General features: G+C 43.8%; 1 protein-coding gene across 41 annotated transcripts in view, besides 2 other annotated features; it reads right to left on the bottom strand.

Moving 5' to 3' along the window:
* DYM (dymeclin) overlaps positions 1-11,122 on the bottom strand; it is a 424,259-nt gene extending 413,137 nt beyond the window's left edge. For all 41 annotated transcript variants that reach the window (NM_001374439.1, XM_047437559.1, XM_047437553.1 and 38 more), the window contains exon 1: positions 10,875-11,122. The gene's annotated coding sequence lies outside the window, so the exon portion shown is untranslated. The remainder of the gene's footprint in view (positions 1-10,874) is intronic.
* Positions 10,521-11,100: a silencer, noted in NCBI's record as "silent region_9448". NCBI's record gives its function as "represses an Ori minimal core promoter by ATAC-STARR-seq in GM12878 lymphoblastoid cells {active_cell/tissue: GM12878}" and the evidence as "EXISTENCE:reporter gene assay evidence [ECO:0000049][PMID:35858748]".
* Positions 15,609-16,383: an enhancer, noted in NCBI's record as "OCT4-NANOG-H3K27ac-H3K4me1 hESC enhancer chr18:46991502-46992276 (GRCh37/hg19 assembly coordinates)". NCBI's record gives its function as "activates a minimal SCP1, AML or CMV promoter by ChIP-STARR-seq in naive and primed H9 embryonic stem cells {active_cell/tissue: H9 hESC(naive and primed)}" and the evidence as "EXISTENCE:reporter gene assay evidence [ECO:0000049][PMID:30033119]".

Consider the following 19,090-nt stretch of genomic DNA (forward strand, 5'->3'; position numbering starts at 1 on the left):
GTAGGAAAAGTTAATTTCCCCAAACCTTAAAATGGTTGACTTAGAGTTGAGCTAATGGGAAGGGAACCCAGAAGCCTGACATGCTGGCAAAAGGGTAAAAGTTTTTTTACCAGTCAACATTTTGGCTTATCTCTTCCTGTGCAAACCAGTAACAAGGATAATAAGGATGATTGTTTATTCTCTGTAAAGTTTTAATTAATAAAAAAGAATTTGTGAGGTTGGTCTTAAGCTGTAACCAATCTGGTGTGCTTTGTGTGTCTTTCTGTAGCGTTCTGTCAAAAGAAAGGGTACCTTAGGTTAGGATGCAGGCCCAGGACCCCATAAGCCTGACTTTGTCTGGGTCCTAGACTCCACACCTGGTATATAATTAAAATCACTTACTAACCAGGTTTTTTACCTAAAGTAAAAGTTGCTGAGAGTTAACAGTGCAACATGTATTTGAGATCTCTAAAGTTTTATATGCAAGGCTTATAAAAACAGTGAAATGTGTTTTTTAGTAAAAGATTATAAGAAAGCATGAAAATATAAATTTTGCCCAGGGATAAGAGATTATCTTAAATTTAATAAGACAGAGCTAAAGGTTTAAGCAAGTTACAGGAAGACAAAAATTAATCTTGCAAAAATGTATAAACATTAACTAAATTCAAAAGGGTATTATATGGTCTTTTCCTAAATTGAGCATTGAAAGAAAAACACGGCAAGGCTGTCTTAAGACACTAATCTGCCGTTTAACAAAAGGGGTTGTAAAGGGTTTGTAAAGACTTCACCCCATGGTCATTGGTTAAGATTAGGTGAACTTTCCTATGAGGTTTTATCAAAAGGTTGTTTACAACTTTAATAAACTAATACAAGGGTAAAATTTGGCTTTAAACAGGATTTTCATGTAATAGTAAAGGATGATGAAAGATTTTTTCCTTTTGTGACATCATTTTGGCAAAATAAATAATGGCAATTTGGAATTCTATTTCATAACATCAAGTGTTTTAAACCTCTAACATTTAAAAGGCATCCCAAAATCAAGCTTCAAGTTTCAAAATTGTCCTTCCTGATGCCTGGCTTTCTGGATTGTTCAGAAGGCCCCTGAAACATCCAGAGAAGAGGTAAACAGGATTATCTGACATGTTTAGTCACATTAGAATTGCCAAAACGATGTCCAATCTTCTTTAAGTTATATTTTGGTGAATAATACTAATATATGTTCCAAAATTGTATGGGATTTCTAAAATTCTAATGTCTAAGTATATACTATCAATCATAATTAAGGTTAACTAAACTTTTTCCGTCATGTTTTTAACTGTAACCTGGAAATTTTGTCATGCACAGACAATTGTTGTTTTGCTTTGTTCCTTCTGAAAAGACAGTTTATAATCAAGCTATATTAAGGACTTTCAACAGGTGTCCTCAAATGCAGGTTTTTAACAGCTTTGAAGATTGTAACATTGGAAGAGAGAAAGAACGTACAGGACTCATGAACTGAAATGTTCACAAATATCAAGCAAAACAAGAATTGACTAAATGGACTACACTCAGAAAGCTAAAGCAATCTTTTTGACTTTTGCTTGGAATATTGCTGATCCTTGGTTTGTTTTTCAGAGTCAAGGAAACTTATTTTGAACTATTTACAGCCTTTAATAATTGAGTAAGGTATACTCCTGTGAACAAAACTTGAAGCATGATTGTTTCTCTCTGCCTGGTTCCTCTAATCTGTGAGAACTCTTAACTTATGGCAATATAGTTGTTTGCATCAGTGAAATAAGAATCCATTTTTCTTTTTCAACAGGACACAAATGGAAAAACTGGCTATTTTATCAAGGCTTTGACTGGAAGTGTATGCTTCCCTTTAAGGAGTCAACCTCCACTTGCAGAGCTGAAAAAGCCCCATGGGAAGAACTGGCCTCATACCTTGTCTACACAGTCCCCGCACAGGGTTCCTAACCTTTGGTCAGTAAAGAATGTCACTTTCTAACAGGTCCAGGAGCTCCAAGTTTATCTTGGGACCTTAAGAGAAAAGGATCACCCAACTCACAGGTATTTGAAGATACAAACCCATGCTGGGCTCAGCTTTAAGAAGTCTTATCTGAGATTTCTTGTGGAACAGAGTTCCATCGAAGCCAATCCAAAAGGACTATGCAGAAATAATTACTCTTGCTGAACTTTATGCAAATAACAAGGCCAAATATAAGACTAAGGTTTATTCTACAAACAACACGGTCCTATCATAATTTGTTTTTACCAAAATCAGGACTAGAGAGAGAAAATATGCTCCAAAGCTTATCATACATTTGTCATTAAATCCTAGTCACATTAATTGTTTTTAAGTTGTGTGCCTACATTTTAGACTAACACTGCTTATTCCTGTGAATCAAGTGGTGATCTCCTGAAGCTTACAAGAAACAAAAAGAGATGGGTAACACAAAAATCTGGATACCTTGGCAAATAAAATTTTAGATGGAAAGTATCTACTACACCACACTTGTGGGAATTGCTATACTCACTCTACTATTTGCAGTAGGGTTATACATGGCAGTGTGTCTGGAATTGGTGGATTCTTGGTCTCATTGACTTCAAGAATGAAGCCACAGACCCTCACAGTGAGTGTTACAGTTCTTCAAGGCGGCATGTCCAGAGTTTGTTCCTTCTGATGTTCGGATGTGTTCGGAGTTTCTTCCTTCTGGTGGGTTCGTGCTCTCGCTGGCTTAGGAGTGAAGCGGCAGACCTTCGCGGTGAGTGTTACAGCTCATAAAGGCAGTGTGGACCCAAAGAGTGAGCAGCAGCAAGATTTATTGCAAAGAGTGAAAGAACAAAGCTCCCGCAGTGTGGAAGGGGACCTGAGCGGGTTGCCATTGCTGGTTCAGGCAGCCTGCTTTTATTCCCTTATCTGGCCCCACCCACATCCTGCTGATTTGGTCCATTTTACAGAGAGCTGATTGGTCTGTTTTGACAGGGTGCTGATTGGTGCGTTTACAATCCCTGAGCTAGATATAAAGATTCTCCAAGTCCCCACCAGATTAGCTAGATACAGAGTGCTGATTGGTGCATTTACAAACCTTGAGCTAGACACAGAGTGCTGACTGGCGTATCTACAATCCCTCAGCTAGACATAAAGGTTCTCCAAGTCACTGCCGTGGGCTCCTGCGTGGCCTGAGCCTCCCTGACGAGCGCCGCTCCCTGCTCCCCAGCGCCTGGTCCCATCAACCGCCCAAGGGCTGAGGAGTGCAGGCGCACAGCGCGGGACTGGCAGGCAGCTCTGCCTGCGGCCCTGGTGCAGGATCCACCAGGTGAAGCCAGCTGGGCTCCTGAGTCTAGTGGGGACTTGGAGAACCTTTATGTCTAGCTAAGGGATTGCAGATACACCAATCAGCACTCTGTGTCTAGCTCAAGGTTTGTGAACAGACCAATCAGCACCCTGTGTCTAGGCTCAGGGTTTGAGGATGCACCAATCGGCACTCTGTATCTAGCTAATCTGGTGGGGACTTGGAGAATCTTTATGTCTAGCTAAGGGATTGTAAATACACCAATCAGCACTCTGTGTCTAGCTCAAGGTTTGTAAATGTACCAATCCACACCCTGTGTCTAGCTCAAGGTTTGTAAATGCACCAATCAGCACTCTGTATCTAGCTCAGGGTTTGTAAATATACCAATCAGTACTCTGTATCTAGCTAATCTAGGGGGGACTTGGAGAACTTTTGTGTCGAGCTCAGGGATTGTACACGCACCAATCAGCACCCTGTAAAATGGACCAATCAGCAGGATGTGGGTGGGGCCAGATAAGGGAATAAAAGCAGGCTGCCCCAACCAGCAGTGGCAACCGGCTCAGGTCCCCTTCCACACTGCGGGAGCTTTGTTCTTTCGCTCTTTGCAATAAATCTTGTTGCTGCTCACTCTTTGGGTCCACACTGCCTTTATGAGCTGTAACACTCACTGCGAAGGTCTGCAGCTTCACTCCTGAAGCCAGCGAGAGCACGAACCCACCAGAAGGAAGAAACTCCGAACACATCCGAAAATCAGAAGGAACAAACTCCACACACGCCGCCTTTAAGAACTGTAACACTCACCGTGAGGGTCCGTGGCTTCATTCTTGAAGTCAATGAGACCAAGAACCCACCAATTCTGGACACAATAGCACCTTCTAACTGAAATACTGGAAAGAGAGTTTTCATTGTTGTAGAATTTGCTTAATTATTATCCTGATAGCAGGGATAATTACCAACAAAAAGGAAGCACGAAAGTTTTACTAACACCGAGTTTGCTAGAACTTCTTATTGGGTTTGGTAATATGTCACACCCTGGCTATGCAAAGAAGGTTATAAAGGAAAGAGATTTTCTGTGGAAGTCATGAAGGGATTGATAACTGCAGGAAAGATCTAGCCAAGGTTAACACTAAAGTTACTCCAGCCACCCAAATCCAATGCCACTTATCCTAAAAGGAATGTTACTTTTATATTAACATTTCAACAACATCTGGTGGAGGCAAACCAGTGTTACAACCCATCAGAATAGCAACAGAATCAAACTCCAAATGATGCTGCAGACAGAACCACACACGGACATGCCTTTCTTCCAAGGACCCTTAGATTGACCCCAGGAGGAGCCCTAGCTGCTGATCCCCACATGATGCCCCTTTTCAGCAGGAAGTAGCCAGAAAGAGTCATCACCCAACACCCCCTAACAGCAGTTAGGGTTGCCACTCCAGAGCAGGGAATGATGATATAGGAGTTAACAAGGAATTACTTAGGCAGATAGCAAGGGCATGGGAGTCCTCAGTAAGGCTGTTCTTTTTAATGAAAAGCAGCCCCAAATCATTTTCTAACAAAGAGCAGCCTGCAAGCTGGGAGCTTGCACACGATAATGCCTGCAGAAACTAAGGACTAGACATTTTCAAAATGGCGGCTCCATCTTCCCTTCTCTGCCAGCCACATGTACTGTAAAGGAGCAGACAGGATGGTGCCAATCAACTGGAAAGCCCATTTGCATAAGATTAGGTTGAGGCAACCAGCCTTCCCCACACACTCTGTAGACGTCATGCATGATCGAACCAATCTGTGAGCCCTATGTAAATCAGACACTGCCTTCTCCATATAAAAATCTGCTGCAGGCCGGGTGCGGTGGCTCAGGCCTGTAATCCCAACACTTTGGGAGGCCGAGGCCGGTGGATCACGAGGTCAGGAGATCGAGACCATCCTGGCTAACACAGTGAAACCCCGTCTCTACTAAAAATACCAAAAAAAAAAAAAATTAGCCAGGCATTGTGGCCGGCGCCTGTAGTCCCAGCTACTCAGGAGGCTGAGGCAGGAGAATGGCGTAGACCCAGGAGGCAGAGTTTGCAGTGAGCCGAGATCGCGCCACTGCACTCCAGCCTGGGTGATAGAGCGAGACTCTGTCTCAAAAAAAAAAAAAAAAAAAAAAAATCTGCTGCGGTCCATGGCCTCCTCCTTTTTTGGACCTCTCTCTCTCTCTCTCAAGGAGCTGCTCTCCTCTCTCCTTTCTTCTATTAGACTTTCCACTCCTTAACCCACAAAAAAATAAAAATAATAAAGAAAAGGCCAGAAAGTAAGCTGAGGCTTGACGCTTTACAGAGAGACTCACTAAAGGGCATGCCTTCTTACTCCGCACATAGTAACCGTACAACTGCATACATCCTCCCTAAGACTTCCAGATTGATGAATTCTACCCCTATACACTTACAATCCAAAATATCTATGTCTAGTCAGAACTGTCTTTTGAGTGTCAGTCCCGTTTATCTAACTGCCTAACATCTATCACCATCTGATGTCCCAAGGGCACCTCAAACTCCACATGCTCAATACTGAACTGAATATACATCCTTCTCCTTGTCCATCTCTAATTCTCATCTTTTTACACCACTCATTCAGATATCCAAGTCGAGAAATCTAAAGGAAGAGAATGAAAAACAACTAATAGTTATAGTGTATATATTGCTAGGTACATAGAGGTATTTTCATTTAATTCTCTAACAAACATATAAAGTATATATTAGTCCCATTATACAGATAAGAAAACTGAAGTTCAAAAAGGTTGAGTAACATGCCAAAGCAAATAAATGATAGAACTAGGACTCAAACCTAGAGTTTCAAAAAGTATGTAGGTTAGTCTGGGTTCAGAGAAATTAATTATAAAGGAGCAGAGGCCAGGCGCAGTGGCTCCTGTCTGTAATCCCAGCACTTTGGGAGGCCGAGGTGGGTGGATCACCTGAGGTCAGGAGTTCGAGACAGCCTGGGCAAAATGGTGAAAACTCTACTAAAAACAGTACAAAAATTAGCCGGGCATGGTGGCGCATGCCTGTAATCCCAGCTATTCAGGAGGCTGAGGCAGGAGAATCACTTGAACCTGGGAGGCAGAGGTTGCAGTGAGCCGAGATCCCACCACTGCACTCCAGCCTGAGCAACAGAGTCAGACTGTCTCAAAAAAAAAAAAGCAAAAAATGCTAATTCCCTACCCAATCTCCAGTCCTCTCTTCCTTTTAGTAACAGAACTCCATTTTTTTGACCAGGCATATTCCTGTTCAACTAAGATATATTTAAGTCTCTAAGAGTGGACAGTCACTTCTTTATCCCTTCCTCCATCCTGCTGTTAGGAACATGGAAATTTTAGCTAGAACTCCAGCAGCCATCTTGGACCCAGAAATCAAGGGCCATACTTTAGGGTTAACAGTGTAAGAAACTACAAGGAGGCTGGGTTCCTGATGACAGCAGAGCTGCCAAACCAGCCTTTAATCGTCCACCTCTGGACTTCTTTTACAAAAGAAACAAACTAGTCATATGTTTAAGCTATTATTTTTCAGGTCTCTGTTATTCATAGCCAAACCTAAGCCTAACTGATACAGGTAGGGTTTTCAAAGTATTCTGGGTGGAGGGTTGCATGACATATTTTGAAGGAATAATTGTCAAGATTCAGTGACTGACTCAACCTAACAAAGAAATTTGTCATCGATCATATGATGGACAAAAGGTTTTAAATGCCCAAAAGACTGAGCAATAAAAGAAAAGATAAGCTTTTTAAAAATAATTATTCCAATGTCCTTATTGGAAAGTTTCAGCCACTTTCATTGCCTGCATTTTTAAAGAATGTGATAAAAATCAGAGAAGATACCAAAATCACTAACCAAACTTCCTTAAGAAATGAAAAAAACAAAAACTTTTACTAAATAAGACCTATATGTAAAGTTGTTCCCAGCCCCACTAGTTCATTTTGTCTAGAATTAAGTAATGTGAGGATAACTTACAAACTGTTTACAAGCAAAGTTCAAAGCATAAAGCTCTGCTAAAAACCTTACTAGAAAAAAAAATGCTTAAAGGCAAGAGCAGATATTTAATAAGTCCCATCACATTTCCTGATAAATGGTGCACCACCACCAGAAAGCCAGAACCTTCACACCTAGAGACAGTAAGGACTTTGACAGCTAAGTAGGAAAGTGAAACCCACTAGGAAACAGGATACCAAACTGGAGGACTCCCAGAAATCCTTTCAATCTTTAAGATTAGTCCTCTCTCTGTCCGAAGAAAGGAAAAGCAGCAATGGGCATCTTATCACTCTGCTCTTCTAGGCTCACAGCACTCTACCATTCCCAGCTGAGTCACAGAAGAACCTGAGAAGAGGCTGCTTCAAGTCCAAATCTCACAGTAGTTCATTCTGCCTGAAGATATTCTCTCACTTTCATTAGGAGTCTTCTTTTGCTGCTGAAATGGGGGTGCCTTTATCTCCCACTTGGACAGAGAGTCCCTGCCTTCTCATCCTGGGCATGGGAACCATCATTGCCCCCAGCGTGTCCTGTGTCAAGTATCAGGTTAGCCCTCTGATTACACATATATACTATGTTTTAAGACATGAATATGAAAAAGAGACCAAAACGAAATATAGAAAAACTTTACATGGAGCTGTATTGCTTTTATACTTAAATCATTTTTAAAGGTCTCATTTTACCAAAGCCTATACTACAAGTGTCACAGGTATTTCCCATATTTCACTAAAAGGAAAAATGAACAGTCTTCTCTAGATCTAACCATTCCCATTATCTACAATCCTAAGTAAAAGACGGCCCTCTCGTTGCATGTACAGCAGCAAAAGAAATCACCTACTTTCTTAAGTCTCGGCAAAATATTCCAAAATACACTGTGGTAGGTAGAATAATAGCCTCCAAAGATGTCCACATACTAATCCATGGAAGCTCTGATTATGTTGCTGGGAAAAGAGACTTTGCAGGCGTGATTAAATTAAGAACCTCGAGGGGGGATTTATCCTGAATTAGCTAAGTGGGCCTGATTTAATTACATGGGTCCTTAAAAGCAGAGAACCTTTCCCACTTGTGGTCAGAGACTTGAGGATGGAAGTATGATCAGAGAGATGCAACACTGGTGGCTTTGAAGACAGAGGAGGTACGCCACAAGCCAAGGAAAGTGGCAGCCTCTAGAAGCTGGAAGAGGCATAGATGCCCCCTAGAAACCTCCAGAGAAGAACACAGCCTTGTTGACAGCCAGTGAGACCCACTTTGACTTCTAACCTACAGAACTGTAAAATAATAAATGCATTGTTTTAAGCCACTAAATTTGTGGTAACATGTTACAGCAATCATAGAAAACTGATACATAACATTAAACAACTTCTAATAATATGTGAAATTATCTAGAAAAGCATAACCAAATTGCCCAAATATTTGGAGCAATATAAGAAAGAGCCATTTGTACATGTTGTAACATATTTCACTTCTATTTCTCTCCTGCCCTCCATTCATTAAAAAGCCTACCAAAGTGACAATTCTTCAAACTTTCTGTAGAAAAATGAGCCATATTAATAAAAAAAAAAGGAACAATCAGGATGGCAGGATCTAATGGAAAAATCAGGAGATAATTATGCCACATTTTTCAGAGTCAAACATAAAAGCGTTTGCACTGTTTATCCTCTTTGTATCAAATGGATTACCACACTTTTTTAAAGTACAGTAAATCTTTCTAGATATTAAAAACTATTAATTTTTATGTGTGATAATGGTATTCTGGGCCTATTAAAAAGAGCAGGCCAGGTGCAGTGGCTCACCCCTGTAATCCCAGCACTTTCAGAGGCTGAGGTGGGTGAAATGCCTGAACTCAGGAGTTCGTGACCAGCCTGAGCAACATGATGAGACCCCCGTCTCTACTAAAAATACAAAAAATTAGCCAGGCATGGTAGCACGTGCCTGTAATCCCAGCTACTCAGGAGGCTGAGGCAGGAGAATTGCTTGAACCCAGGAGGCAGACGTTGCCGTGAGCCGGGATCACGCCACTGTACTCCAGCCTGAATGACAGAGCGAGACTCTGCCTCCCACCACCACCAACAAAAAAAAGCAATTCAATCTTCTACAGATATATATTGAAATATTTACAGATGAAATTGAATGTCTATGATTTGCTTTAAAATAATTGTGAGTGGGGATAGGAATGCATAGGGACATAGATGAAATTAAATTGGCATGAGTTAACTGCTGAAGCTGGGTAATGGGTACATGGGAGTACCCTTTATTATTTCACTGTGTGAACTTTTCTATGGTTAAAAGGTGCAAAAACATAAAAACTCCTTGACCTATATGTCGTAACAACACAGACTTCTTAATAGCTGAATCTCCTTCCTATTAACATTGCCCCAACTCAGTTCTCTGCCATTTAATCCACTTGCGACTGATAGTTTCATCAATTATTCCAACTCATTTTGCCCTATGTACTCAGTTTATGAGCTTAAGGCAGACACCTAACCTCTAAAAGACTAGTTCTTCATTTACAGAATGGGAATATTCATACTTGTCCGGTCTATCTCCAAGTTGCTGAGAGGATTATCTAAAATAAAACTTCAAAGCAGGATAATCACTCCAGAAATCCATATATTCATAAATTTCATCCTCTGCAACAACCATTCACCCATTCCTATAGATTCTCTTCCCTTCCACCTCGTTCTTCTCTTGAGCCCTCAACTCATCAGCCTAAGCACCTGAGTTCCTCTGGTGGACGCTACATTCCTCTCCACGGCCTCCACCCTCCAGGTTTTCATCCTTCAGCACATCACCCTTGCTCTACACACCCCTCTCTCCAACTTCCCCTCTCCTCTTTCAAGGAACTCACTCCATCTGTGCCCCCTAATCAGTCTATCCTGGGTACCCGCTTTGCTGGCCGATTACAATCATCCCATCACTTCTCTACCCCTGTTCAGTAGAGAACAGCTTTATCCAATCAGCTTTACCACACCAATACCCTCAAACCCCACTACTGCCCCCAGTTCACAAACACCCACCCTTTCACTTTTCAGTCAAAACACAATTGCTCAGGCAAATCCACGGCGACTGAAAGTAGATCAATAGTGTAGGGGAGAGAAGGAGGAGTGACTGCTAATGGGTACGAGCTTCTTTGGGGCGGGGGGGGCGGTGATTAAAAATGCTCTGGAGTTAAGGGTGGTGATGGCTGCTCAACCCTGTGAATATACTAAAAACCACTGAGTTGTACTTTTAAAGGGTTAATTTTCTGATATGTTAGTTATACCTCGATAAACTATGAATGTAAAAAGAAGAAAGAAAAACCCAACAGCTATTGCTCACCCTGCCCATCACACGCCCATTTGTCAGACCAACACCGCCCCATCTCCGGAAGCACCGACTTGGCCTTCGGTATCCCCCAACTCCCAACAGCGGACTCGGACAGAGGTCCGTCCGCTGTCAGCACAGCCCCTCCGGGTGGCCCAGGCGCCCGCGGGCAGGGAAGGGAGGGTCCCTTCGCCGCCGCCCCGGGGCGCTGGCCGGGTTGCGGAGGGTGGCCCCTGACCCCCTCTGACAGGAGGCCGGGGACAGCCAGGCTTTCGGGCCCGGCCGCGCTGAGGGGGGCGGCGCTACAGCCCACCTGTCTCAGCCGGCTGGGGGATCTGCTCCAGCTCCACGGACCCGCGGACGGATGGGAGGGTGGCAGAGGGGTCAGGAGAAGTCGCTGTCGCCGCCGCAGCCCAGGTGGCGCACACCGGCTCAGGCCTCCATGTTTCCACGTCTCAGCGGGTACAGATCCGGCTCCGGTCCGGCCTGCAGCTCGGCCCCGGCTCGGCTCCAGCCCGGGCCGCGTCGGTGCGGAGGCCAGGAGGCGGCGAGAGAAGAGGGAAGCGACCGAGAACGCGGCTAGGGACCAGACCCCCAGGCGCGCGCGCCAGCCAGGTGGTCACGTGGCACGCGGCGCGCGCGGGCTTCTGGAAACTGTAGTCCTTTGGGTGTTATTCGTGCCTCCGCCCTCCTAGTACCTCCTGGGCTACCGCAAAGCCACGTGGCGAAATCGAGAAGCGCAAAAACAGCCGTGCGCGGTGGCTCACGCCTGTAATCCCAGCACTTTAGGAGGCCGAGGTGGACGGATCACGAGGTCAGGAGATCGAGACCATCCTGGCCAGCATGGTGAAACCCCGTCTCCACTAAAAATACAAAAAGTAGCTGTTTGAGACAGGATAATCGTTTGAACCCGAGAGGCGGAGATTGCAGTGAGTCAAAAAGTAGCTGTCTGAGGCAGGAGAATCGTTTGAACCCGAGAGGCGGAGATTGCAGTGAGTCGAGATCGGGCCACTGCACTCCAGCCTTGCGACAGAGCTCGACTCTTCTCAAAAAAAAAAAAAGAGAGAGAGAGAGAAGCGCAAAAACCTCACCTGCCGGGTGCTAGAGTCAACCTCACCTGCCAGGTGCTAGAGTCCTCGCTCATGCTACACCGCTCGTTCTGGCGGCTTAACCTTATTAAGGCCTCTGTTAATTGCAGCTGAATAACCATCCCAAAGTCAAGCAATATTGTGTGGGATTCTGGAGAATTGAGAAATAGCAAAATAATTTTTGATGGAGGCAGCTGGCAGGGCTAGCCCTGCCTGCAAAGTTGTCGGAAAGGACAGGTCCCACGGGAAAGAGTAGCAATATGAGATAGTGCCAAAACTATGGAATTTGAAGTCAAATGAGCTGAGGTTTCCACACTGACGTCTTTGAGCAATTACTTCACCTCTCTCAGCCAGTTTCCTCACCTAAAATATATGCATGATGATGATTCTGCCATTACAGGAAATGTTGACATGACTGTAGTAATAACAATTCACATTATGGATTATTTTCTATTTGCCATGCACTATTATTTCGCAAAATGACCCTATGGAACAGATAGCACCGTTATTCCCATTATATAGTCAATATGTGCCAGTGTACTCTGTAAAGTACTATACAAATATTAGGTATTCTTTTCTAGCATAGACTGCCAGTAAATTCACTGAGCTTGCAGAATTATGACAGGAAAACATATTAAAACCCAAAGTAGACTGGGCCCTGTGGCTTATGCCTGTAATCCCAATACTTTGGGAGGCTAAGGTGGGAGGATCACTTGAGCCCAGGAGTTCGGAAGGACCAGCCTGAGCAACATAGCGATACACTGTCTCAACAAAAAATACAAAAATTAGCTGGGAGTGGTTGGCACACCCTCGGTCCCGGCTACTCGGGAGGCTGATGTGGGAAAATCGCTTGAGCCCGGGAGGTTGAGGCTTCAGGGAGCCATAATCTCACCATTGCACTCTACCCTGGGCAACAGAACGAGACACTGTCTCAAAAAAAAAAAAAAACCCCAAACTACCTAACTAAAAAGCCATAGACACTACTATGCAGTCATTGTAAAGAATGCTATGGATGCATATTTATTTGAAAACATTTTCATGATACACTGAGTGGAAACATATATAGTATCAAATTTTCATAAGTGAATTATATTAGGTTGGTGCAAAACTAATTGTGGTTTTGCCACTTAATATAATATTTATATTAATATATTAAATGATATATTAATATAACATATGTAATATATGTTTACTATAATATTTATAATACCTATGTATATGTGCTGTTGGAAAAAAGACAAATAATATTAACAATATTGCAACTTTGGGTAATGAGATCCTGTGTGGTTAAAATTAGTTTTTCCCTATGTTTTCTAATTTTTCTGCAAGGAATATGAAGTACATGTACAATTTTATTTTAAAATTACAGCAAAAAGAGACTCAGGGCTGGGCGTGGTGACTCATGCCTGTGATCCCAACACTTTGGGAGGCCGAAGCAGGCAGATCACCTGAGGTCAGCAGTTTGAGACCAGCCTGCCCATCATGGCGAAACCCCGTCTCTACGAAAAATACAAAATTAGCCAGGCATGCGCCTGTAGCCCCAACTACTCAGGAGGCTGATGCAGGAGAATCACTTGAACCCAGACGGTGGAGGTTGCCACGAGCCGAGATCATACCCCTGTACTCCAGCCTGGGTGACAGAGCCAGACTCTGTCTCAAAAAAATAAAAAATAAAAAAAGAGACTCAGGCATGAAAACCTAACTCAAAATATTTTTTAATATTGCCTGGCACACAGTCTACTTTCCCCAGACTGACTCAGCAACAGTTGTGAGCATCTCCTCAAAACTGGCTTTATAGACCTAAGAAGCAAAATATTTTATTTCAAGGGGATCCTATTAGTGAAATTTTACATCGTCTCCCTTTGGTCATTTTTGGATGACTTGAAATAAACAGTCTTGCCTGTGTTCCTAGGCAAATGTTATAATGTTGCTAGGCAAATATCATAAATCGGAAGATAAGATTAGGAATATTTTTTACTACGTAGGAAGTGTTGAGTTAGAGTAGCAGTCCTTATGCACCTTTTTTGTACATGTAATGTGCAAATTATTATCCTTGGACACCAACTTTCAAAACTGCCTGCAGAAGTATGATGGCCGGGCGTGGTAGCTCAAGCCTGTAAATCCCAGCACTTTGGGAGGCCGAGGTGGGCGGATCACCTGAGTTCCGGAGTTCAAGATCAGCCTGGCCAACATGGTGAAACCCCGTCTCTACTAAAAATCCAAAAAAAAAAAAAAAAAAAATTAGCCAGTTGTGGTGGTGCAGGCCTGCAGTCCCAGCTACTCAGGAGGCTGAGGCAGGAGAATTGCTTGAACCTGGGAGGCAGAGGGTGCAGTGAGCTAAGATCGCCCCACTGCACTCCAGCCTGGGTGACAGAGTGAGACTGCATCTCAAAAAAAAAAAAAAAAAAAAAGTATTATGATAACTTTGGCTGACTTGACAACTTCAGTGTCTAGTTAGTGCAGGAACAGCAATAGAAAATGTATGAAATCCTTCCACTAAATCCAATAGGATATCCTGGACTGCATCCTGGAATTGAAAAAGGCAATAGTGGAAAGCCTGATGAAACCTAAATGAAGTTTAGAGTTTAGTTAACAGTATTGTACCAATGCTGATTATCTAGTTTTGACAAAATGATGCTGTGGTTATATAAAATGTTAACGTTAAGGAAAGCTGGGTGATGGATATACGGTAACTCTCTACACCTTGCAGCTGTTCTTATTACTAAATATTACATTATTCCACGTGGTGGACAGAATACTTTTTTTTTTTGAGACGGAGTTTCACTCTTGTTGCCAAGGCTGGAGTGCAATGGCACAATCTCAGCTCACTGCAATCTCCGCCTTCCAGGTTCAAGCAATTCTCCTGCCTCAGCCTCCTGAGTAGCTGGGAATAAAGGCGCGGGCCACCACACTAATTAAAAATTAGCCCAGCTAATTTTTATATTTTTAGTAGAGACGGAGTTTCACCATGTTGGCCAGGCTGATCTTGAACTCCTGACCTCAGGTGATCCACCTGCCTCAGCCTCCCAAATTGCTAGGATTACAGGTTACATTAAAAACAGGAGGAAAAGAAGAATGGAGATGTAAAGTGGAGCCAAATATCCTTCAAGCCCTGGTAGGCCTCTGAGGTTTCTATAACTACAAGTTTGCAAGGTCTGGACTGCAAACAGACTTCATGTGTCTTTAGAGCTGGAGGGGGACTGACTTTCTTTGTAGAAGCTAAAGGGCCAGAAAGGACCCATACGTAACAGAAGGACCCTCTGCAAGCAGGACCAAGACAGTCCCCAGATTATTGTCTTGAGGCTGTTCCAAGAACAGCACTCAGGCTTCCACTTCCCCAAGAAAGAAGAGCAGACTTTGGAGTCAGACAGATCTGGGTTGAATTCTGGTTCCACAATTTCTGAGCTAAACGATTTGGGGAAAGCTACTTAACATCTCTGAGCCTCAGTTTTCTCCTCATGAAGGTGCTGTGAGAACGAAATTAAGTAATGCATGTAGCGTGTCATTTTCAATGTTAGTTCATCTGCATAATCCAGATGGTGGACAGCTCGCATGTCTTAGTTGCCAGCACCTGGCCACTCCTCCAAGGAGGGATGAAGGTCAAACAGAACCTGTCCAGGGAAGGGCAGTCAGGATGGTGAGAGATCTGGAAATTACGTCCCATGTGGAAGGGCTGAAGGAACTGAGTATGAAGAACTAGACTAAGAGGAGACTTGTGATAAGTAGAACCATCCTCAGGGGGGCATGATTAGACTTATTTTCTGTTATGCCAATGAGCCAAATTAAGACCAAGTTTTCGAAGTTACAGAATGCAGATTTCAGCTCCATATAAGAACTTTCTGAAAACAATATCAGCAGCAATAATTGTCAATTCACATTACAGGCTGTTTTCTGTGAGCAAGGCACTGTTATCTTATTTAAGTCTCCAAATAACCCTATGAGAAAGGGTGCAGTAGAAAGTTATTTAATGACTCAGGAATCACTTCACCATAGGTGGTTCAGTGAAATTAAGCTTACTAGTAGTGAAATGGTCTATGTGGAAGAGAAATGAGATCCCAATCACTGCATGTGTTCAAGCAGAGGCTGGCTGAACAGGTAGTAAAATAAAGTTACAACAGCGTAGGGAATGTTAGTGATTTGAGTTCTAGGGACATGAGAGGATTCCGACAGAGATGCACAGCCAGTGAGCTGCACAAATGACTGAGCAAGCTCCTGAACCGGCGTCCTCTAAGGCCTCCTGTGGTGCTATGGTAATGAATTCCTTGCAAGGCCAGCTGTTAGCAGCAAGACTCAGAAAGTGCTGCAGAGAGTTTGAATGCTCCAAAAGCAGTGACTCCAGCATTCCTGGGTATTGCCTGCCTGATAAGGTAAGAAGCTACACAGTTCGTTCTCCAGTCCCTCCTGCATGCAGGAGAGCTTAGATGCACTCTACAGAGCCCCCATTCATTCTTCCTTTTCCTGAGCCCTTAGCCTAGCCTGGGGAAAGAGGTTGAGACAGCCTGATCACTATGGGTCCTGGTGGCCTTCTGGCCATCAGAAAAGATGTCAGAGGAGCAGTTCTGATGGCAGAACTTAGGGAGGGGGCACAGTGCAGCTGTCACTGTCTCCTTCCTGTCTGGGACAAATTAGGAAAAGTCACAAACTAATAATAGTTAACATGGGGGCTAGGTGCAGTGGCTCATGCCTGCAATTCCAATAGTTTTGGAGGCTGAGAAGGGAGGAATACTTGAGGTCAGGAGTTCCAGCTCAGCCTAAGCAACATAGTGAGACCCCCATCTCTACCAAAAAAATAGCTGGGCGTAATGGTGCACAGCTGTAGTCCTAGCTACTTGGGAGTCTGGAGCAGGAGGATTGCTTGAGCCCAAGAGATCGCAGCTGCAGTGAGCCATGATCATGCCACTGCACTCCAATCTGGGCAACTGAGCGAGACCCTGTCTCTAAAAAAAAAAACCAAACCAGGGCTAGGCGCGGTGGCTCACGCCCGTAATCCCAGCACTTTGGGAGGCCGAGGCAGGCAGATCACAAGGTCAAGAGACCGAGACCATCCTGGCCAACATGGTGAAACCCCGTCTCTACTAAAAATACAAAAATTAGCTGGGCGTGGTGGCGTGCGCCTGTAGTCCCAGCTACTCAGGAGGCTGAGGCAGGAGAATCGCTTGAACCCGGGAAACAGAGATTGCTGTGAGCTGAGATAGTGCCATTGCACTCCAGATTGGACAACAAGAGTGAAACTCTGTCTCAAAAAAAAAAAAAAAGAGGTGAGGTCTTTGGGGAGGTGATTGAGTGGAGTGAGGGCTCCTCCCTCCTCACAAGTGGGATCACTAGCCTTATAAGAGGGCTCGAGACCAGCCTGACCAACATGGTGAAACCCCATCTCTACTAAATACAAAAAATTAGCCAGGCTTGGTGATGCATACCCGTAATCCCAGCTACTTAGGAGGCTGAGGCAGGAGAATCACTTGAACCTGGGAGGTGGATGTTGCAGTGAGCTGAGACTGCACCATTACACTCCAGCCTGGGCAACGAGAGTGAAAACTCCATCTAAAAAAAAAAAAAAAAAAAAAGCAGGGGGCTTGAGAGAACTACCTAGGCCTTTTTTCCCCTCTGCCCTTCCTCCATGTGAGGACATAGCAAGAAGGCTCTCACCAGACACCAAATATGCTGGTGCCTTGATCTTGGACTTCCCAGCTTCCATAACTGTGTGAAATAAATTTCTGCTTTTTTTTTTTTTTTTTTTTAAGGCGGAGTTTTTTGGCCAGGCTGGTCTGGAACTCCTGTCCTCGTGAACCGCCTGCCTCGGCACCCCAAAATGCTGGGATTACAGGCATGAGCCACTGTGCCTGTCCAATTTTTGCTCTTTGTAAATTACCCAGTCTGTGGTATTTTGTTATAGCAGCTCAAAAGGACTAAGACAAGGTACTTATTTATTGTCCCCCATTGTACAGCCGCAACAAGTTAAATACAATTCCCAACATTGCAAAGCTAGCCAGTGGAGGCTCACACACCAGCAGTCTAGCTGCACAGCCCACACTGTCACTCACTGGAAAAGGCTGTCCCAGAGCTCCTTTTGCCAACACTGCCAGTGTTGGAAGACTCACACTTGGCTTCCTCAGAGTTAGCTTGTGTTTCCAGCTAACATGGACTGTAATATCTGACTGTAATACCTGGGTATATTGGTTTACTAGGGTGCCATACCAAAGTACCACAAACAGTGGACATTTATTGTCTCATAGGCCTGGAGGCCAAAAGTCCAAAATCAAGGCATTGTCAGAGTTGGTTCCTTCTGAGGGCTGCGAGGAAGAAACTGTTTCATGCTCTCCCCTACTTTCTGCTGGTCTACTGACAATTCTTGGCATTCCTTGGCTTGTAGAAGGAACACCCTTATATCCACCTTCATCTTCACATGTTCCTCTGTGTGTGTGTTTACATAGAAATTTCCTCTTTATATAAGGACGCCAGTCATATTGGGTTAGGGCCCACCCTGGTGACTTCATTATAACCTAATTCTATCTACAATGTACCTATTTCCAAATAAAGCCTGTTAAATAAAATTTATAGGCGGCCATTGGCTTGGACTGAGCTCCTGCACTAGGCCCAACCAAAATGGAGTCATTCATGCTAAGGTTCCATGTCACCAAATTGAAACTAATTTGTTTATCTGACCATCTGAGAAATGAAGAGAGTGAGGGATAATAGCCAAATCCCCAAAGAAGCCAGTTTTAGCCGGCATGATAAGGAAATCCCCTCTGCTTCAGCCTTAACAAGAAAGTAACTCTGAAACAACCAATCCACTTTTTGTTTTCTGTTTCCGCTTTCCTTAGCCTTTTTCTCTCCATTGGACCAAACTCCTCTGCTCAGCTCTTGGGAACACCCGTTTTATTTTATAGGATGAGGTGTTGCTTGATTCTAGAATTGTAAATAAAAGCAGTTAAGATATTTAAATTTGTTGTAATTTTGTTTTGTTTTTTTTTTCTCGCTCTGTTGCCCAAGCTGGAGTGCAGTGGTGCGATCTGGGCTTACTGCAACCTCCACCTCCCAGGTTCAATCAGTTCTCATGCCTCAGCCTCCTGAGTAGCTGGGATTACAGGCATGAGCTACCACACCCAATCCTAATTTTGTCTTTTGAAAGATCAAATTCTGAGGTACTGGGGGTTAGGACTTGAACAAATGAATTTTGGAGGGACACAATTCAACCCATAACATGAGGTGCAAACACTACTCTAGGCAAGATTTGAAGAAATAGAACTGACCTCGGTGGCCAAGAACAGATTTATTGGTGTCTTTGAACCCAAATAGGTAAAAATTATTTCCATTTACACTAGGTCATATCTTATAGTCTCCCAGAAGCCAGTGGCACGAGCCTGGAAGATTTACAACTCAGGCCAGGCATGTTGGCTCACACCTATAATCCCAGGACTTTGGGAGGCCAGGGTGGGGGGAT

The sequence above is a fragment of the Homo sapiens genome, chromosome 18 (assembly GCF_000001405.40).
Source record: "Homo sapiens chromosome 18, GRCh38.p14 Primary Assembly".
In the NCBI taxonomy this organism is placed as follows: Eukaryota; Metazoa; Chordata; class Mammalia; order Primates; family Hominidae; genus Homo; species Homo sapiens.